Source organism: Homo sapiens, chromosome 10, assembly GCF_000001405.40.
Source record: "Homo sapiens chromosome 10, GRCh38.p14 Primary Assembly".
Lineage (NCBI taxonomy): Eukaryota > Metazoa > Chordata > Mammalia > Primates > Hominidae > Homo > Homo sapiens.
In genome coordinates, this window is record NC_000010.11 from 122,329,298 (window position 1) to 122,351,361 (window position 22,064).

Consider the following 22,064-nt stretch of genomic DNA (forward strand, 5'->3'; position numbering starts at 1 on the left):
ATAAAATGTCGTCTAAGCCACCATCTGCTTCCATGTACCTGACCCCTCCAGAGGGACCGAGGCCCCATCTCCCCCTGGCTAGTGAAGCCACTAGTCTCTACAACATGGCTTTCCCTAGCCCGAGCTAATTCCAGAGAGGAGTTTGCTGAAGGTCTGTTATTCTTCTTTATGCCTCTGCTAAGCTTTCCTGAGAACTGTTGCTTTCTGGACCGGGACATAGGACGGAGCTTGAGGCCGCTCTTCCTCTGCTTGCGTCTGCACGGCATCACCAAAGGTAAGCCCCAGTCCAGGCGAGCGCATCCACGGGAAAGCTGCTGGGCACCTGCCCACCCCCCAGCCACTGCCGGGGGAGCCCCACCTGATGTTTCCAAGGGAATCACCTGAATCGTGGCATTGTCACTTCCAAGCTGTGTGACTTCGGGAAAGTCATGTAGCCTCTTGGTCTTACTTTCCCTGTCTGTAAAACGAGGGTAATCTGAGCTCTGATGAAATATAGTGATGGCTAGAATGGGCTTATATATTGTGAAGCAGTGTACGGCTGCCAAGGGCTGTTTTATTGGCATCTAATTGTATGTCCTACCTCTTCACATGCTTCACTTCTAGGCCCCTTGTTCTGCAGTTTGGGAGAAAACTCTGAATTTGTGCTCCCTTAACCTCATGCTCTGGGCACAGGGGATGGTACCTGTAACTGGGAAAGAGGAGGGAAATGTTGGGGAGTATGTTTTCAGCAGTCCAGGAGGCCACCCAGTGAGATCTTTGCATCTGAAAGGACCTCTGAGAACATTTTCAAAGCCATTTCCAGCTATCCAGATATAATAAGTAGCTCTAGAATTCAGGACTGGTTGATGGGGCCAGGTAGTTTTGTCCAAGTTGCTTCTAAACACTCCAGAAACACTGATTACCTGATCTCAAACCTCCTTTCCCAGGCAGGATTGCAGCCAGGGGGCCGTGAATGTTGGGGTGAGGCGTGGTTGTAGGGGAACACTAACTCTTCCCCAGGGACCTGGGAAGAGAGATCTAGAGAAAAGTTTGGGGAAAAAAATAAAAATAGAAATTTTAAATTGGAGCTATGTGCAGCCTAAATATCTTCTTCCTTTTTACTTTGTAATTTTTTTGATAATATTGTGAGAACTGAAATATCTTTAAAGAATAAGGAGGACTGGTCAAAGCTGACCTTCGAGGGCCACTGATGGCATTTCCTTTAACAATAGTTCTCAAGGTACCTTCCAGGGTTCACTGGGCAGCAATATCTTCTTGCAGGATTGTTAAGAGTATATTTCATTCAAAATAATATGTTACACTTAAATTGTACATTAATATGTAGTATAGACATTTTTTTAAACTGAAGTTGAAATGGCCATCCAATTTGGAGTGAATGTATTGGTTCCTTTGGAAGTTTGTTTGTATAAGGTGGTTTTTTGTGTTGTTTTGTTTTGTTTTGTTTTTTTGAGATGGAGTTTCACTCTGTCCCCCAAGGCTGGAGTGCACTGGTGCAATCTTGGCTCACTGCAGCCTCTGCCTCCTGGGTTCAAGAGATTCTCCTGCCTCAGCCTCCCAGGTAGCTGGGATTAAAGATGTGCACCACCACGCGCAGCTAGTTTTAGTAGTGGTGGGGTTTCGCCATGTTGGCCAGGCTGGTATTTCTGTACGTTTTTAAAAGAGAATCGATTTGGAATATAAAAGTAATTGACTCTGAACATAACCACAGTGACCCTGAGACGTTTTATTTCCACTTTGTCAATCAAACCTTAAAGGAGACCATCCACCCCTTTCCCTTCCCTCAGCTCCGGACTTCTTCCTTTTCCTTTCTGTAAATGAGACTTTTGAGGCTCTGGTGTGAATAAAACTAAAAAACATTCTCTTTGCGTTTCTTCCCAGGCAAGGATCTGGAGGTGCTGCGGCACCTTAACTTCTTCCCAGAGTCATGGCTCGACCAGGTTACAGTCAACCATTACCACGCAGTGAGTTGCCTGCTCTGCAAGGACACAGTTGTCGAAGTTTATTGCCTCTCTGACTTTGTTTTTTCTGGAGATGTGTTTCACATTTGAAACCTCTAAACCTCTGAGGTCAGGACATATCTGGATCATCTTCCAGGGAAAGTGGGGAGAGCAGTGCCTGGGAAGGAGAGAAGGGAGGAGACCCAGCCTTGGAATCCGGGTAGTTCGAGCTCCCATCATATGCATTTTTGTTCTTGGTACAGATTAACAAACGTTTGGACCAAATAACTCTTCCTCCAGTAATAAATGAGCATGTCTCTCTCTGTGCACCCTCAGCAACATAGGGCATTTAAATTTCAAATCACTTTTCTTAGTTGAGAGGGGAACAACCGCGTCTCATTTTTTAACATGTATTTCTTTTATTACTGGTGACTATGAATGTTTTCCATGCGGCATTTCCCCTTTGTGAATTGTCCATGCAAACTGTGGTAGTTCTTATGTGTTTTCAATCTCGCGTTTTTAGAGATGAAGAGGGGCAGTGTGTGAGTTCTGAAGATGTATGAGTCACTAGTTAAAATTCAATCCTGCTCAACAAATACCTATTGTAATATGCAAGCCACAGTGCTCAGCGCTCCCCGCACCATAGATCTCGACTCCGTGGAAGGAGGTGCTTTTCTGGGACATAACTCAGGACCATGCTCTAACAGAGCAGCAGAGGACTGACAGAGAGGGGACAGTCTGTGCAGACATCTCGGGAAGTCCCCACCTTCCTCTTGGTCCTCTGACTCTGCCCACCTCCTTCCTTTTGTCCCCCGCTGCCAACGTCATCCTCTCCAATTCCGCTCCCTCTCCTCCCCAGCCCTCACCTTGGAGCCTCCCATGAGGGGCCTTGCTTGCTCTTGATTTTGTGACTGTGATCATCTCTGCCCCATGCACACATTTTATTTCCCATGTGAGACTGCTCAGATACTTTTTTGTCTTCTCCTTGCATCCTCTGAGAGCACTGGACACAGTGCCAGACACAGTAAGTTTTCAATAAATGTCTGTGAACTGAATGAATGGCTGAATGTAAGTCTAGAGGCAAAACTCTTTTTCAAACCTGGTGAGGGGGGCAGGGGTCAAGGAAGAGGCATGAAGATGAAGAGAGGCGCTCGTGTCCAGAGGATCCCACCGTGGTCAGCTGTGTGCATTTTCCTTTCAGCTGGAGAATGGGGGCGACATGGTCCACCTGAAAGATCTTAACACCCAGGCTGTGAGATTTGGGCTGCTCTTTAACCAGGTACTGAGAACTGTACCCGAACAAGGGGAAGAACTGTTCCTCTCGTGCTTAGTTAAGAACCTTTGGAGGGCAGCCATGATCACTTCTGGCTCCTGGTAGGAAGGTCAGGGGTCCAGAAGAGAGAACCACAGGTGTCTCTCCTGCATGGTCATCAGCTCCCAGGAAATAAAATTCACAAGGGAGGGGCCTGGGGCGGGCCATTTAATAATTTCCCCACTAAGAGGACCAGCAGTCCTGGTGGTACTGGAATGGAGGAGTTGCCCTGGGATGTAGGACTTCAATTCTAAAACCAGGAAAGGCCAAGGCAAACTGGGAAGGGTTGGTCTTTCTATTTCCCACAAACACCAACAGTTGCAAACTGGCTCAACAAGAGACTCCATGCCAAGTCCATGTTTAAGCTTATAGGGGTGAACTCAGTCTGGGCAGCTATTTTGATGGATTTCAGAATAAAACTGCAGTGGGTCAAGGAGCTTGATTGCAAGGCATCTTGGCACTTAGTGACCAGGGGAACCTTGGAGTTGGTAGCTGTGCTCCATGCTGGGTTCCCTGTGATGGAAGCAATTCTCCAAGAAATCAGTGATCTCCTTTGATTATTTCAAGGCACCCCCGCAGTGATCTCAAAAGAATTCACGTTTCAAGAACTAGGGGTGCTGAATGCATCATCAGAGAGTCCCCTCTGAGTCATCCCTGGAGAGGCTGGCTCAGCCTTTTGGTTGCAGAGACATCGTGCCTAAGTGGGCAGATGGAGATCACAGAGCCAGGACTTCCTGCAAATGCTATGAGTGGCTCTTGGGCCCATCAAATTGAAACAACATGCTTTGTTTCAAAGGTCTATAGACCACAGGTCATCTAAGAACATACCTAACCTATTCTTTACCTCACTAAGGAACATGAAGAGTAAATAATATCGTCACTGTTCAGTAGCTACTACTAAGTCTACTACTAACTTCTACTAACTGTACCAACTGTTTGTAGGGAGACCAAGGAAAGGAGGGTCTAAACCCTCCAGAAACACTGATTACCTGATCTCAAACCTTCTTTGCCAAGCAGGATTGCAGCCAGGGCATGGTGAATGTTGGGGTGAGGCATGGTTTTGGGGGAACACTGTAACTTTTGCAAACTTGATGGGTTCCCAGGGACCTGTGAAGGGAGATATAGGGAAAAGTATGGGGAAAAACATAAAAATAGAAGAAATTTTAAATGGAGCCATGTGCAGCCTAAATATCTTCTTCCTTTTTGCTTTGTAATTTTTTTTTTGTAGTATTGTGATAACTGAAATATTTTTAAAGAATAAGATGGATCAGTCAAAGCTGACCTTCAAGGGCCACTGATGGCTTTTCCTTTAACAATAGTTCTCGAGGTAGCCTCCAGGGTTCACTGGGCAGTGGTACCTTCTTGCATGATTATTGAAAGTATATTTCATTCAAAATAATATAAATTACAATTAAAAGCATTAATATGTGGTATAGAATTTTTTTTTAACTCAGGTTGATATTGCCATCCAATTTGGAGTGAATTCATTCAAATTGTTACTAGTAATTACTACTACCAAGGATTTCAGTTTAGCTTTCCCCATGTTTCCTAGGTTAAAATTGCCATTGTATTTTCACTTTCAAATCAGTTGCTGAATAAGTGACGGTTGTTATTGTTGCTATACTTTGTTTTACCATGTCCTCTTGACTTTTTTTTTTTTTTTTTTTGAGATGGAGTCTTGCTCTGTCACCCAGGCTGGAGTGCAGTGGCGCAATCTCGGCTCACTGCAAGCTCTGCCTCCTGGGTTCATGCTATTCTCTTGCCTCAGCCTCCTGAGTAGCTGGGACTACAGGCGCCCGCCACCACGCCTGGCTAATTTTTTGTATTTTTAGTAGAGACGAGGTTTCACCATGTTAGCCAGGATGGTCTTGATCTTCTGACCTCGTGATCGGCCCGCCTCAGCCTCCCAAAGTGCTGGGATTACAGGTGTGAGCCACCGTGCCCGGCCTTTTTTTTTTTTTTTTTTTTTTTTTTTTTTGAGATAGAGTCTTACTCTGTCACCCAGGCTGGAGTGCAGTAACACAATCTCAGCTCACTGCAACATCTGCCTCCCCGATTCAAGTGATTCTCCTACCTCAGCCTCCTGAGTAGCTGGGACTACAGGCACGCACCACCACGCCTGGCTAATTTTTTTTTTTTTTTTTTTGGTATTTTTGGTAGAGATGGGGTTTTGCCACATTGGCCAGGCTGGTCTTGAACTCCTGACCTCAGATGATCTGCCCGCCTCAGCCTCCCAAAGTGCTGGGATTACAGGTGTGAACCACCACGCCCGGGTGACTTTGAATACTAAATATTTTCCCCCCTTCACTTTGTTGTTTCTCTTTCCCAATTTAGGAGAATACAACTTATTCGAAAACGATTGCTCTATATGGATTCTTCTTTAAGATAAAGGGACTCAAACATGATACTACCTCTTATAGTTTTTACATGCAGGTAAGGATAGAGTGCATGAAAGTTATGTCTCTGAGACAGTCTTTTAGAGTTAGAGTCAATTCATGTTGAATTAATAATAATTGATTCATCATTAATTACTCATTGACATGAAATGTATTGTAAGTGCTAACCACGCTCATGTATGTGATGTCATTTGATTTTTACAACAACCTTGGGAAGTAGGTATTGGTAGCCCATTTAGCGGATGAGGATCTGAAAACTGAGCGTCTTTGTGTTCATATGGACTCTATTGGTAAAGTCAGGATTAGATTCTAGTCTTCTATCTCTACATGTGGAGCTCACTTCATCTTCAATTTATACATACAATTCAGTTATTCTCCCATGAAGATAACCGGTAATGCCCCCAACTGGGAGAGGGGGTAATTTTGTTAAGCTGCAAAGCAGGCTGTGGGCAGGACCCCAGAAAAGTCAGGAGGGTGCTTGACTTCTCCGTAGTGCTCCTGCTGGACTTTAGGAGAGGCAGGAGAATGTCATATTTAGGAGTGGAGAGTCCGCAGGTGAACGGCCTTGCGAGCTATAGGACCTGGGCAAGTGCCAGGAACTCTCCTCTGTGCAGTTTCCTCACCTTTAAGGCAGAGAAGGTAACAGGACATACCTCACCGGATTGTTGTGAGTTTAAATGTGTTAATCTGTGCAGGGTGGCTTGGAACAAGCTTGACACACAAAGCACTATGTGCATTAGGGAAGATGAGGATGATGATGTTGACGATGACAATGACAACTATGATGAAAGATTGCTGTGTTCCACTTAAGATTTGCTTACAAGTCTCTTCTCTAAACTGCAAGCTTTTGAGAGGCCATATCTTATTAATCTTTTTATTACTACTGCCAATCACAGTACCGAGAACATAGAGGAGCTTTATTTTTTTATTTTTCTATATTTTTTGAGATGGAGTCTCACTCTGTTGCCCAGGCTGCAGTGCAGTGGCACAATCTTGGGTTACTGCAACCTCCATATAAAGGGGCTTTAAATGACTGACTGAATAAATGAATGGATAAACGAGTGAATTAATGCATGAATGAAGAAACCAGAGTTTTAGTCCCAGATTTTCCAGTACCTCATATGTCCCCTGGAGCAAGTCATTTCTCTTCCATGGGCCTCAGCTCTTGGTCCCCACTGACTCAGGCATCTCCCTACACAATGAATTCTTCTGGGTGGAAGAGATGAATTATGTGACAGCAACAGTCCAAATGCCCTTATGAGTACTACATTGGTTTTTTAATTCTGGCAAAGGCATCATAAAGCTTGACTTGATGGTGTTTTCCTAGATTGGCCAAAGCCCAGGCCATCAGCCACAGGTTTATGTATGGTGGGGGCTCCAATGACAACTGACTCAGCAGCAGCAACTTTTAGGAGATGGTGCCAATTGGGAAATGCCCTCTTGCTGCCTGCACACATTATATACCAGGGTCTATATGCCAGGCTCCAGCTTTCCCTAACTCTGGGCCACCCCGATTGCAGTTCCACCTAAGGTGAATCACTCTCTTTGCAGAGAATAAAGCACACAGACCTGGAATCTCCCTCTGCGGTCTACGAGCACAACCACGTCAGCCTGCGAGCGGCACGCCTGGTGAAGTATGAGATCAGAGCAGAGGCCCTGGTTGACGGCAAGTGGCAGGAGTTCAGGACAAACCAGATCAAGCAGAAGTTTGGGTTGACCACGTCATCCTGCAAAAGCCATGCAAGTGTTCACGTTGTCTTTTCCTTTATTTCCTTTTTGCTCTTTCTCTCCCCCATCCTTTTGGGGATCACTGGCTTCTAATCTCCAGTGCTCTACACTGAAGATCCCTGGAAAATCTGGCTCAGTTTCTTAAGGATTATCACAGCCTCAAATAACGCTAAAGAGAAATCTCTTCTAGAATGAAAAACCATGGATACAGGTAACTATAACCCAAATCAGACTACCTGATTTGGATCACACCAGATCTATTTTATAAGCATCAAAGGGTATTTTTTTTTTAGGTGAGGAGGCTCCGTGGAGTGTATTTGTCATCACTACCTCCACTGATGCCTGTGAGTGGCACATTAATTTCCCTGAAATCCACAGCCCAGACCCACCTGCCTCACTCAGGCCCACTGGGGAAGGGCTGGGCCCATCTACCTCAGTAGGTGGTTGCCAGCATCTAGGCAGATCCACTGCCTGGCCTGGCTTCTGACCAGAATAAGACTTTGCTACAAGCCAGTGAGTAATTCCTGGTCCTGATTGCACATCAGAATCACCTGGGGGCCTTATAACTACCAAGGCCAGAGCCCCACCCAGATCACCAGACCAGATAGATACTCCATGGATCGGGCCAGGGTATCAGTATTTTTAAAAGCTTCCAGGTTGTTTTCTATGACGTTAGAAATCACAGTAACAATTTCCTTTGTGGGGGTGAGGGAGAGGGGCTGGGAAATTAACTGACAGAGAACATGAAGGACATTTCTGTGGGGCTGGAAATATTTGTTTTTTTTTGTTCGTTTTGTTTTGTTTTGTTTTTTGAGACGGAGTCTCGCTCTATCGCCCAGGCTGGAGTGCAGTGGCACAATCTCGGCTCACTGCAAGCTCCACCTCCCGGGTTCACGCCATTCTCCTGCCTCAGCCTCCTGATTAGCTGGGACTACAGGAGCCTGACACCACACCCGGCTAATTTTTTGTGTTTTTTAGTACAGACAGGGTTTCACCATATTAGCCAGGATGGTCTCGATCTCCTGACCTCGTGATCCATCCACCTCGGCCTCCCAAAGTGCTGGGATGAAATATTTGTCTTGTTCAGGGTGATGGTTACACAGGAGCATTTACTTGGTGAGAATTTATCAAGCTGTCCTCTTCAGATTTGTGCACGTTATTGTGTTTAAGTTATTCCTAATTTATTGGCAGTTTATTTCAAATAACCTCTGCAGGTTATTCTGATGTGCAACCATAGTTGAGAGCCAGCATTTTCTACAACTGTTAGTCCTTCCTCTTTCCCCTTCTGGGGGGCAATTGTGTTCATCCTAAAAGTCACATTCACTTTGTTTTTTTTCATGTTTTAGACCTTGAAAATCCAAACTGTGGGCATCCCAATCTATGTAAGTTTTGCATTCATCTTCCCAGCATCTTGACAGTTTCCAGAAGAATCTATGGGATTTTCCCCCCACTGGTCTGCATAAAAGAAAATAAAATGACATAAAAGGGAGCACTCAAGCATTCCGTTGCCTTTCCTAGTTCATTATGGTCTTGTTCGAACTTTTGTCCACATTTGTATCATTTGAGGGTGGAACGTGCCAGACCCGAGAGTGCATTTACCAGCCCTGCCCCACAGAACCCTGAGTCCAGCCCTGACTTTTTGCCCTCTCCCAGCACCAGGGAAGCAACAGCAGTGGCAACAGACTGCAGCCAGGAGCATGGAAGACTTCCCTTAAATGCAGCTCTGCCTGCTACACAGAACAACATGCCTGCCAATCGTCCCTGGCAGTTTGGGCTCAGACAGAACAAGAGATAGGAGGGGAAGGAAGTGATTCTTAAGTACAGAGTGACTTATTTATTATCCCACCTTTAAAACTGAAGCTCTGCAGTTTGGAAAGAGAGAAGTAGAGAGCCTTCCTTCCCACTTTATTTATTTTCTATTGCAGTGTCACAAAGGACCACAAATTTAGTGACTTAAAACAACACATTGATTACTTCAGTTTTCATGGTTGAGGAATTCAGGGGTAGCTTCACTGGGACCAATACTCAGGGCCTCATAAGACTACGGTTTAGTGGCAGGCAGGCTGTCTTCTCATCTGAAGAGATGGCGGGGAGAATTCATGTCCGAGCGCGTTCAGGTTGTTGGCAGATTCATTTTCTTGCAGCTGTATGACCAAGGGCCCCGGCTGCTACTGGGGTAGAGAGAAGGTTGCGCAGGCCCCAGTGGCGCCCTGCAGTTCCCTGCCATGTGACTCTCTACAGACATTTCAAATCATGGCTATTTGCTTCTTCAAGGCCAGCAGAAGAATCTCTCACTCTAGTCTGCTAAGGTAGCATCTTATATAATGTAAGGTAATCATAGGAGTGGCAGCCCCTCCCCTCTGCCCTACTCTCTGGACTAGAAGGAAGTCACACGCTCCACCCACACCCAAGGGGAGAGAATTATACAAGGGGTCACCTGAGGGTGTGTCCACCACACTGTATTACCCATTGTCTTTGGAAAAGTGATGGAGAGTCGATGACGCTCTGCAGACAGTGAGGTGGATAAGTTTAGTCTAACAATCACCTTAGAGTCAGACACAGCTGAGGGAGCCTCCTTCCCAGCAGAGGAATCTGTGCAGTGTGACCTGGCAGGGAGGCGCAAAGGAACTGGGTGTTGGGAGCCTGTTGGCAGGTTCTCCCCGCCCTTCCCCAAGCCCTGTTTCCCAGGCTGCCTCACCGGCTTGCTTCCGGCCATGTCCAGTCAATGAGAGGTGGAGATGGGAGCTTGGAAGAGAGAGAACAGGAGAGGCCTGGGTAGTTTGTACCCTCTGGGCTCAGAGGACGTTTTCCAGCAGTAACTGTGTCTCCTTCCTCCGCTGCCCAGCTTGTGCCCCAGCTCATGCCCATAGCCTCCTGCCAGGGTTTCAGCACCCATCAAAGGTCCCTGCTTCTGGTTCTGATACCACCTCGTCCCTGTGTCCCTCCAGGCTCTGGGGCAGTGAGGACTTCCTTCACTGCAGTCTCTGGGTCGTCTCATTCCCTGCTTAGCTTCTTGAGTTTTACTTCATCTGGGAACCAGTTCTCTGTATTATATTGATTGTTTGAAACCCCTAGACTAGTTTATGTTTCCAGGTTAGTCCCTAATGTAAAGGGTTTTGATGAGTTGGCAGATGTGGCTCAGTGGGGTGGATGATTGGATAACACAGCCTCAATGATTCTTCCCATCCCTGCCGGGCGGGGTCTAGGGTGAGGCAAGCGAGGCACTTGCTCGGGCATATAACCTAAAGGGGCACCGAAATACTTAGTAATACAGATAAATAGTATTTTGATTCAATGTTTTAAAAAACCAAAATCAACCCACACAAATTTATGATAGAGCTTGGTGAATTGTCATGAGGTGAACACACCCATATAACCAGCACCCAGATCAAAAACAAAAAGAACATAACCAGCACCCCAGACACCCCCAGTGGACCCCCCAAGGTGAATACAACACCGACGTCCATCTCCATGAATTAGTTTGGCCCTTTAGTTTGAATATCTTGCAAACAATCTGACAGTGCACACTCTTTCATGCCTGCACGCTTTTGTTCAACATCACATTTAAGAGATTCATCCAGGTTTTCACCGGGAGATGTAGTTTATTTTCAAATAACATGATGGTTTCACTTTTTTACTTTTTAAAAACTAAACGTTACTTCAATAAAATAATACATGTTGTCACAGAAAAGGGAGAAAATACAAAGAAGAAAATCAAACAGCCTGGGACTGCTGACACTGAGATGTTTGGTAGGCGACCTTCCAGGAGGAATTTTAGGTGCATTTATAGTTTTCTTTCCATTTAAAATGGGATTTGCAGTTCAGAGCCTCATTCTTCTCTTGAGAGAGCTAAACAGGATGGCAGGGTGTAGTGGCTCATGCCTGTAATCCCAACACTTTGGGATGCTGAGGTGGGTGGATCCCTCGAGCCCAGGAGTTCAAGACCAGCTTGGGCAACATGGTGAAACCCCATCTCTACAAAAGATATAAAACTCAGCCGGGCATGGTGGTGGGCAGCTGTAGTCCCAGCTACTTGAGAGGCTGGGGTGGGAGGATCATTTGAGCCCAGGCAGTTGAGGCTGCAGTGAGCTGCGGTTGTGCCACTGCACTCCAGCCTGGGCAACAGAGCAAAACCCTGTCTCAATTAAAAAAAAAAAAAAAAGAAAAAAAAAAAGCAGGGAATGCGGGGGAAGTTAAACAGGATAACAGGATGATTTCTTTCATAGCGAGCACAGTGTTTGCGGAGGAAGGAGATGGTGTATTTGTTTCACCTTCAAATTGCGGGGCATCAGAAAAGTCACTTGTCACTTACCTTCCATGACTGTCATTTTCTTATCTTTAAAAGGGACATAAACTTACCCCTCTGCCTCCCTCTCAGGGGCTGTGAGCCCCGCAGGCAGCACTGTATGTAAGGCCTCTTTATGGACCAGTCCCTGTGCAGACGCCTGGGGGCTTGGTGTTACTGGCTCAAGAAAAAATGCAACCTTGTGGCATTTTACCACAGTTCTGTAGGATAACAGGGATGACAAGAACTAAAAACACTGACAAGCAAATCTGCAGATGTCTAAGAGAGGAGAGGTTGTTTGGAAGCGTCTCTGAAACATGAATGATTGCCCGGTCTCTAGGGGAAACAACGGTTAGGTATTTGAAATACGTAAACTCATGCGCCAGGAGTTTGCAAGAGTGGGAGAAACTTGCCAAGGAGCGATGCCAAAAATGTGTCTGTAAGGTGAGCAGTAAAGCAGAGTGGGGAATGTTAGGGAGGGGCTGGGGCGGGCAGGAGGAAGGCAGCCCCAAAACCTGCGGGGGGCTGGGGTGGCAGGAGGAAGGCAGCCCCAAAAGGAAAAGGGAAGGATTGAAGGATTGGGCTGCCTCCCCTTCCTCTTGGGCAACAGGAAGGTACTAGAGACAGTAGGACTTGGAGTGTCAGGGAGGGGCCCTGTGATGTCATTTCCACCTCCTAATTGTACAAGGGGGAAATGGAGCCCCAGCAAGGTGGAGTAATGATTCTGGTGGGAAAATGCTTGGTAAGCACCGTCTCACTGAATCCTCCCGACCCCATGAAGTAGGTGTATTTTCCATGTCTGATAAGAAGGAAGCTGAGGCCGGGCATGGTGGCTCACACCTGTAATCTCAGTACTTTGGGAGGCCAAGGTGGGTGGATCACCTGAGGTTAAGAGTTCAAGACCAGCCTGGCCAACATGGTGAAACCCTGTCTCTACTAAAAATACAAAAATTAGCTGGGTTTGGTGATGCATGTCTGTGATCCCGGCTACTTGGGAGGCTGAGGTGGGAGGATTGCTTGAACCAGGAAGGTGGAGGTTGCAGTGACCTGAGATTGCACCACTGCACTCCAGTCTGGGCCCAGAGAAAGTAAATTTATTCATCCAAGTCTCCTCAGTGTGGCAGAGTTGGGAGTCCAGCTCAGGCCTGGCCACAGGCCTATCTGTTTCTATTTCCCCTGATGGCCCACTGAGAAGAGTGGAAATGTTTTAGGGTGTTTCATTCAAGTATTTCTTGAACACCTATCTGTTCAAAAGCAATGCGCACGGAGCATATGCTACGCGCCTGGCTGCGGTGTGCAGGGTGTGCCTCATATGATATCTCATTCGATTATGATGGGGACTTGAGCAGGGGCAAGGGTGGGAGAGTGGCACGTACCTGGGCCTGGAAGGATGGGGGGCTGTCCTTGTAGGTGGGGATGGAGGGAAACGGTACACAGGTGGTGTTCCAGCCTCATGGCTCTAGGACTGAATATGCATCTGAATTACCTGGGACTTTGTGCTTGCGCAGATCCTGGGCCCCGGCTGAGAGAGGCTGATTTTGAAGTCTGAGAGACACTCAGAAATCTGCACTATAACAGGCTTCCTGGGGGATGCTGATGCAGGGTGTCTGTGGATCACATCCAGAAACTGATCTGTGTGTCAATTCCACAGCAGGGTTTCTTACTGTGCTCCATACACCCAATTGTCTTCCTTACCCAGTGCCAAAACAAAATCCAAACAATAACAAAAAACCTGTGAATTGATTTCACCACACTGGCTGATTCGAAACAAAGCAAAACTGATTTCCTAGAATATGAAATAAACAGAACTTAGTAATGAGGCCCCTCCTGTGGGTGAGCCATAATTCACAGTCCACCCCTTTCCACTAGGGGGCATGGTCCACCTCAAAAATTTTAGTGGCAAAAATTTGCAACCTAAAAACTCGTTTTACAGCAGGGAGTCCCCTTGCTTTGTGGTTGAAAGTGGAGCTGTTCGTCCTGGGAGAGGCTCTGTTTATCCAAACATCCACAGTATGCACATCATAAAATCTCTGAACTTGAGAAGTGTTAGTCTTGAGACAAAAAAATCTTAAAATAATTTTACAAGCTTTTCTTACAAGGGAGAAATTCGTAGAGATTCAAGGGAGAACTTGAATTTTAAAGCCCAAAGTCCCAATGCCCAAAGCAGTGGCCATGAGCACTGGTTAACGAAACCTCTTATGTGCCATGTCTGAAACGCCTCGTTCACTTCTCCTGATGCCCTTCTGGCTCACCTCCTAGCCGCTCACCTCCTATCCCCTCCCCTCCAACGGGGGAGATGGCCCTGGACTCATTTGGTGCACACCAAGTCTTTCGGGTTCTAGAGTACAACTGACCTGGGTTTGAGTCTCAGCGCTGCCCCTTATCAGCTGTATGGCCTTAGGCAAGCCATCTAACCTCTCTGAGCCTCAGAGACTGATCTGAGATAGGCAATCAAACTCATGGTAAAAATTAAATAAGTTGATGTTTTTTGTAAAGCACCTACCACATAATACGTGCTTTATACAATTTATTCCTTATTTTTTCACCCTTATTGCTTGGAGTCAGGGAGTACTTGTTGAAGGTCAAAATGGTTGCTGTGCGATCTTGGGACAGTCCCTTTTCTTTCTCTGGGCCTATTTCCCTTTATGCAAAATGAAAAGGTTGACCCAGGTGCTCTCTGCAGTCTTTCCAGCTGCAATCATCAGATTCTCAAATTCTGTGAATACGAAAGAACAGATGTGAGTTGTTGAGCCTGTGAACCAGAAGGAGGAGGATCTGGGGAAAGGAACTGTCTTATTTTCCCGTGGGCTCATCAGAATGGGAATGAATTGGAAAGAGTAGGAGAAGGTTTTTCCTCGCCCCTCTTTATAGGGTTTTGCATCCGGGAGACTGGAGCATCTTGTAATACCGGGGAGGAGAGAGTTTGTTCTTGCTCTTGTAAGCCTAGGCTACTGTTTGGGGTTCGCCATGCTGTTGGGGAGAAGAGTGAGCTTCCCAGGGATGACCTGGGTACCAGAAGTCCCAGGCCCTGCTTGCACACGGGGGTAGGTGTAGGATATGGGGAATTGGGCCTCTGGGCCCTGAGGCCTTGAGAGCTGGCGGGTATAGAAGGAGGTTCTCCTGGAGGAGAGAGAGACAGAAGAAACCTCTGTGAGACAGACCCTGAGGGCAGCACCAGCCAACTGAACTTTCCGCAATGATGGGAATGTCCCACATCTGCTCCATCCGATGTGGTATCTGATGTGGTATCCGATGTGGTATCCGATGTAGCCGTTAGTCATGCGTGGCCTTTGAGCACTTCAAATGGGGTTGGAGCTAACTGAGAAACTGAGTTTTCAATTTTATTTCATTTTAATTAATTTAAATTTAAATTGCCATAAGCTTAAGTAGAAGAAGCAAGGTAACGACAGCACCCAACATGAAACCAGAACTGGATGCTTCCTGGCTTTGCAGACTCTCTAGGGTTCCGAGCCTCTCAGTCTCTTCCCAGGCCCCCGATGAGTGGAGCCTCAGTGGCAGGCTGTGCCCATGCCTGTGGCTCAGCCTGAGGCCACCTCAGACTTCTTTCTGGAGAAAGTCGTGCTGTGGAACAGGAAGGTTCCCATGCTGGGGAAGCGGAGTTCAGCTCTGTATTGATATTATTCTTATCTTGCTCCTTCTACTTGCGCTAACCACTTAAATTTAAATAAATGAAAATGAAATAAAATTTAAAATTTCACTCTTTGTCACTCTAGCCATGTTTCTTTCTTCCTTTTTTTTTTTTTAACTCCTCCTTGCAGAGGAGCACTAACTCACAGGCGGTGTGCCCAGAGTCGGCCAAGCCGCGTTTCAAGTGCTCCGTGGACTCAATGGCTAGTGGCTGCCCTGTGGGCTTGGCAGATGTGGGACAAAGGGCTCCTATGGCTGCTCCTCATGACTTTGAGCTCTGTGACTTTGAATGAGTCATGTGACCTTTGTGCTTTCATTCCTTGACTTTACTCACACCACAGATTTACAGTGAGCTGCTGCAGGCCAGGCTTCGGGTGAGGTTGTGAAGGTGAACAAAACACACAGTCTCCGCCATCTCAGAGCCTACAGTGTGTGGGGAAAGACAGTTATTAGTGGAATATGCACTAAAGAATGCCTGTGTGCCCTGAAGAGCACAGTTGCCTGGAGCACTGTTTCCAGAGAGCATAAAGCAAAGAAAGCTGACCTAGATCCTGGTGTGGGGATCAAGGCCCAAGGAGAGCCCTCCCAGGGGAAGCAACGCTTACACAGAGAGCTGAAGTCGGAGTGGGAATTGAAACAGGTTTAGGTGAGGATGTAGAGAAACGACTACTCATATGCTGCTAGTGGGAGGGTGAAATGGTGCAGCTGCTTTGGAAAACTGGTGGCTCCTCAAACAATTAACGTACAGTACCATGTGACCCAGCAATTCTCACCTCTAGTTACATACCCCAGAGAAAATGAAAATATATGCCCTCCCAGAAACGTGAACACGAATGTTCGTAGCAGTATTATTCACAACAGGCAAAACATGGAAATTAGCCAGGAGCGATGGCGTGCACCTGCAAAAGGGGTGAGGCGCCTGTAGAAAGGGGGTTGGCTCATGCCTGTAGTCCCAGCTGCTTGGGAGGCTGAGGTGGGAGGATCACTTGAGCCCAGGAAGTGGAGTCTGCAGTGACCCATGATCACACTACTGGACTCCAGCCTGGGTGACAGAATGAGACCGTCCTTTACAAAAAATAAAATAAAATGCTCACTTTGGTAGCAGATATACTAAAATTGGAATGATACAGAGATTAGCATCACCCCTGCAAAAAGATGACATACAAATTTGTGAAATGTTCCATGTTTTTAATAAATTTTTTAAATTAAAAAAAAAGTAAAAGAAAAAGAAAAAAAGAGAAATGGAAACAACCTAAATGTCCATCAGTGGATGCATGGATAAACAAAGTGTGGTCTATCCATGCAATAGAACATTACTCAGCCCTAAAAAGGAATGTAGGACTGGCACGTGCTACATGGATAAACCTTAAAAAGATCATGCTAAGTGAAAGAAGGCAGTCACAGAAAAACACGTATTATATAACTCCATTCATACGAAATGTCCAGAGGAGGAATGTCTACAGACAGAAAGTAGATTCGTGGTTGCTTAGGGCTGGAAGATAAGAGGATGGCCACTAAAGGGCACAGGGTTTCCATTTCAGGTGATGAAAATGTTTTAAAATTGAACAATGGTGATGGCTGGACAACTCTGTGAATATGCTGGAAACCACTAAACTGTACACTTAAGTGGGCGAATTGTATGATACATTAATTCTATCTCAATAAAACTGGGGCTTTTTTGAAAAAAAAAAAAAAGGAGGAATTGGGGGCTCAGGAGAAGATTCAAGCCCAGACAACATGTGAAAGTGAGCCTGGTACCTTTAAAAAACACGGGAGAAGGCCCCAGTGGGCAGAGCCAGCAGAGCCAGCAGCAGAGGCTGGAGATGTGGGCAGCTGGGACATCCCTGGATTTTGGTCTCTTTCTCAAGACCACCTAGTATTCAAGAGTTTCAGGCCTGGGGCCACCCTGATGAAACCTGGGTTTTGAAAAAGTTTTTCTAGATGCTGTTTGTCAGCAGAGGTGAGGGGGGCTTGGGAAAGAATGCCAGGTGTCAACATGGTGTGGGATGTGTTGTGGGTGAGCAATGACTATCTGGACCAGTGATGCAGGGGTAAAAGAATTTACCAAGACAGTTGTAGATAATGAAAGGCAAATTTACTAGAGAAAGTATGAAACTATGTAGTGAGAAGGCAATGGGCAGGCCAGCAGAAGAGGAGCTGACTGCAAGGAAACAAAGGCTGGCTGGAGATTTTATAGAATAATGCTTATGCTATATGCCGAAGAGGGCTTTGTGCAATACTAATAATGCAAGGTTGCAGTGAGCCAACTTGCAGGTGTCTGGTGATAAGCTGGGTGCACGAGGGGTACCTGTTCTGGGCCATGAAGAAAGGCAGATTTGCGGCTTACCTGCCTCTTCTTTTTGCTTTCCTTTGCTCCCACCAGCCTGACTCCTTTTCCCTAATTAGGACTCCACAGGAGGACAGGCTGGGAGAAATGTAGAGCCCCTGCCCTGTCCCAGAGAGGGAGGGAGGATCCCTTAACTTCCCTGCATGATTCCTCAACTTGCCCTGGTCCTGAGTTACCACTGAGGGGTGTGACTGTGGCCCCTTGGGGCAGAAAGCTCCTCTGCTATCACATATCACAAAGTGGTTGCACCAGTTTGTTTAAAGGCACACATTCCCAAAGGACACTGGCTGGTGGCAGTATAAATTGGCACTGCCTTTCTGAGATCAGTGTGGCAGCATATTAGAAAAGATCTTAGGATGTTAATTACTGTGGTAGATGATGATAACGATGGCTCCGGTGAATCACACCTCCCTGTGTCCACACCCCTTGGCTTTGCGGTGCCACCCATCAACAGATGGAGTCTATTTCTACATCCTCTTGAGTCTGGGTTGGCCCTGGAGCTTGCTTTGGCCAACAGAGTGTGGCAGAAGTAACATGGTAGCATTCAGTAGTTTGGAGCTCAATGTGCCTTGCAGCTTCTGCTCTGGCCTCTTGGAGTCTTGGGACCGTGTAGTGCAGGGGCCTCTACTAACCTGCTGGAGGGAACGCGGCCATGTGGAGGAGAACCTCAGCCCGACCACCAGCCCCAATTGCCAGACATGTGAGTAAGGCCATCTGGAACCTTCTAGCCCAGTCGACCCTCCTGTGGAATGCAGCCTCATGAGTGACTCCAGAAGAAACCCTGCAAAGGATTTCTTCAGCCAACCCTCAGAATCATAAGAAGTAATTAATTGTTGTTTTAAATCACTAAGTTTGGGGGTGGTTTATTACCCTGCAAGAGCTAACTGAAATACATACCTTTTGAATTAAGCAAATCCACTTTAGTAGTTTATACTTAGAAAATAAAAATCCAGAAAATAGCCCATGATTTAGGTACAAAGGCATTCCTTATAGCATTGTTGTAATACAAAGCATCAGCGTGATTTTAGGTGCCTAACAGCAGGAATTAAACAGAATAGGGTAGATCTGTACACTAGACAATCATTACAAAGTTTTTGTTGAAGCAACCTAGTGGCAAGATTTCCAGAATATACTGTTAACTGGAAAACTAAAACAATTTTTTAAAGTATGCAAATATGATCTATTAAAATATGCATATTCTAAATATATTTTAATGAAATTGATGGGTCCAAAAGCATATGCAACTTTGATCTGATAGTATAAACTCGCTCTCTAATGTGGATGTGATAATTCGTCTTCCTCCCAACACTGAGGAACCTTGCTGCTGCTTTCTGTCGCTGTTGCTGGTGGTAAAGGGCCCTTGACTGACACATTTGAGAGGCTGGTCAATCCATGCACAGAGCTGATATGAGTTAAGGCAAAGGAAGCTTCAACCTTTATTTCACTTAGCAGGATTCCCTGGTTTCTTGGCCACCCAGAGACACCTTCTTGGGACTCATTTCTCATCCAACCGAAGGGGCCTGATGTGCTCCTGGACTCCTTTAAGGAGAGAGAAACTTTGGGTGCAGCATCACGAATTGTAAGCAGGAAGCCAGGCTTCTGAGAGTCAGATGGAACTGCAGCTGGGAGCAGGGGGGTTGTCATTTGTCTGCCCTGAGCCACCAGAAAGGGTTCAGTGAGTCTTGAACACAGTGATTAACTTCTCTTTAATCTACGCATCACTGCACAGCACAGCCAATTGCTTGGCTTCCCCAATAAGAGTCATGAGTCACTCAATGTCTTAATGTGGACTGAGCACGTTTTATTCCAAGCAGGTGCGACTGTTCCTGTATGTGCCTTTGAGATACCTAGGAAATGAATAATGCTTGTTGTCCCCCTCCAACACCAACTGAACATTGAATCAATGGTTTACTATTTTAATAACAAGTGAATATTGCTCTAAGACTCCTTTTTTTTTTTTTTTTTTTGCTTGTTCAGTGCCAGAGGGATAGGTTCCCATTTCTTTTCCTGGCTGTTGGGTCACGGCTGAGGGTCCCTGGGATGTGGGGCATCTCCGTAAGTAACAGGAAGTATATTAACTCGTGGGTTAATTAAGAAAATCATTGACGAAACCACATGAGTGTGTGCTGTGCAAGCGACCCTTGGACTGCCATAGAGGCCAGGAATAGGGAGGGAAAATTGGACCCAGCTGTGGCCTGCTTAGCTCTTTTCTTCCAATGTGGGTCACTCCTTGAACTAGGACAGTCTGCAGGTGTTCCCATTGTGCTCAGACAAACACTCAACTCTTAACCCTTGAAAGAAAGAAGTAGGAACAAAGGCCTGCTCGGGCATGCTGGAGACGCAGAAATTGTGGAGGGAAAAGCAGCAGGCCCTTTTCACATGGTGGCTGCCTTATCCTCTCTTACTCTATTGTTCAATCTGTTCAACTTAGTTAAGAACCCATAGATCTAGATTCCACCCCCTCCTTCCCTACCACTCTCTGGCTGGGTGACTTTTGGCAAATTTTCTATCTTTTCTGAGCCTCAGTTTCTCATCCTCACAGAACCATTGTGAACACAAAATGAGGGGCAGAATGGGGACATGTGATAGGCAGAATAATGGCCCCAAAGACATCCTTGCTCCAATCCCCAGAACCTGGGAAAGTTAGCTTATGTGACAAATGGAGCTCTGCAAATATGATGAAGTTAAGGATTTTGAGATGGGAAAATGATCCTAGATTATCCAGGTGGGCCCAATATACTCAAGGGGTCTTTATAAGAGGGAGGCACACACTCAGAGAGGCAGAAGGCAATGAGACTACCGAAGCAGAGATGAGAGTGATGTGGTCACAAGCTGGGGGATGCAAGCAGGCCCTAGAGGAACAGACTCTTCCCTAGAGTCTTGGAAGCAGCCAGCCCTGCTGACCTTGACTTTAGCCAAGTGAAACTGATTTTGGACTTCTGGCCTCCAGAACTGTAAGAGAATAAATTGGTATTATTTTAAGCCATCAAGTTTGTGATTTGTTACAGCAGCTGCAGGAAACTAATGCAGGCTGATTTGTAAAGTCCTCCTGTGAAAATGGAAGAATCTCCTGCAATGTAGCCAGAGCCAGGTGAGGCCCAAAGGGGTGGGTGTGCCTGATAAGCCAGGAACGTGTCAGCCTGCAGGTGTCCATTTGCATGAGCTTATTTGCAGGGTGCTGCCTGTGAGGCTGGATTATGCCTGCTGCCTGACCCGGCCTGGTCACCCAGATATGAGCCCAAGCCCAGTGAGGAGAGACTCCATGGACAGAGGTGAAGGAACTGTTCTCCAAAGGACTCTGACAGCTTGTGGGTACAAGCTGTGCTGCTTTGGGGCCCAGATGACAGGTGAGATGTGGAAGGGGGCAGGGACATTTGTTCCATGTCTGTTGCACACTTTATGGCATGGCTACAGCCGGATAGACACCACCTGATGTGTTCTGACACCCTGAAGTCTACAGACATCTCAAGACCACTAGCCGACCTCAATCTTGATCACTGCCCAGGTGGCAGTGGAGAAATGTCTTCCTGCAGGCAGCAGGCAGCACCAAGAGGTTTGAGCCAGAGATATGACGCTCCCCTGAAGATACCATTGCAGGTGGTTAAGCAAAAGCCACTGGCATTTGGATTAATGTGTGTTGGTGCCCACCCACAGATAAGGCCTTGGGACCCCCAGGCCACTGCAGGGCCTGCTTTTGGCATCCACCAAGGTTTCTCTCTGGGACACCTGTTCCCTATGGACCCACTGACCTGAGTCCCCAGCACAGACATGACCACACCTCCCATTTTGTAAGGAAATCATGTATGATTCTCTGGGACAAATGCTTTCCAGTTCTTATTACTCCTCCCTACCGCAACACGTATTCTGATCCACCTGGAGAGCCACGAAACTCGATGGCAAGTGGCAGGCCAGATGCCACCAGGCTTCTCCTTCTGGCCCTGTGTCTTCACTCTATCTTATTTTCTTGCTTCTTGCCACTCTCTAGACTGATCTTGCTCATTTCTGGCTTGTTCATCATGACTCCACAAGAGCGTGGACTTTGCCTTTTCCCTCGTGGAACGCCTGGCTCTGACACAGCTGCACAACACATCACAGCACTCATATCTCAGTGAATTAATTAGTTGACGCCCCAAGCATACTGAGGGTGGAGGGCGGATGCCTGGGACTTGAAAGACGTGTGGCACATCTCCAGGTCCACTGCGCACTGGGCTGGAAGATTTCAGAAACGAGCTATGTGGAAACGGCACAGGAAGCCCACAGAGCGATTCTTCCGTTGCAGTGGCCTGAGGGAGGGTCAGTGGAAAGCTATGGGAGAAACTGACCTGGTCCTCCCGTCACATGACAGCTTCCTCTTCCCTGAGGGTGCTGGACAGACTGGGGATGGGGGAGGGAGGAGGAAGCAAGCGGGGTT

At 46.7% G+C, this 22,064-nt stretch overlaps 1 protein-coding gene and 1 pseudogene across 7 annotated transcripts in view; both read left to right on the plus strand.

The window, feature by feature from the left end:
• The window catches only part of BTBD16 (BTB domain containing 16), a 66,864-nt gene extending 58,002 nt beyond the window's left edge, over positions 1-8,862 (plus strand). For all 7 annotated transcript variants that reach the window (NM_001318189.3, XM_011539239.3, XM_011539241.3 and 4 more), the window contains 6 exons: positions 183-274; positions 1,879-1,961; positions 3,139-3,216; positions 5,584-5,682; positions 7,197-7,385; positions 8,720-8,862. In NM_001318189.3, coding sequence (NP_001305118.1) covers positions 183-274; positions 1,879-1,961; positions 3,139-3,216; positions 5,584-5,682; positions 7,197-7,385; positions 8,720-8,788 — 610 coding nt within the window. In that variant the 3' untranslated portion in view covers positions 8,789-8,862. The remainder of the gene's footprint in view (positions 1-182; positions 275-1,878; positions 1,962-3,138; positions 3,217-5,583; positions 5,683-7,196; positions 7,386-8,719) is intronic.
• Positions 16,393-16,496, plus strand: RNU6-728P (RNA, U6 small nuclear 728, pseudogene; annotated as a pseudogene).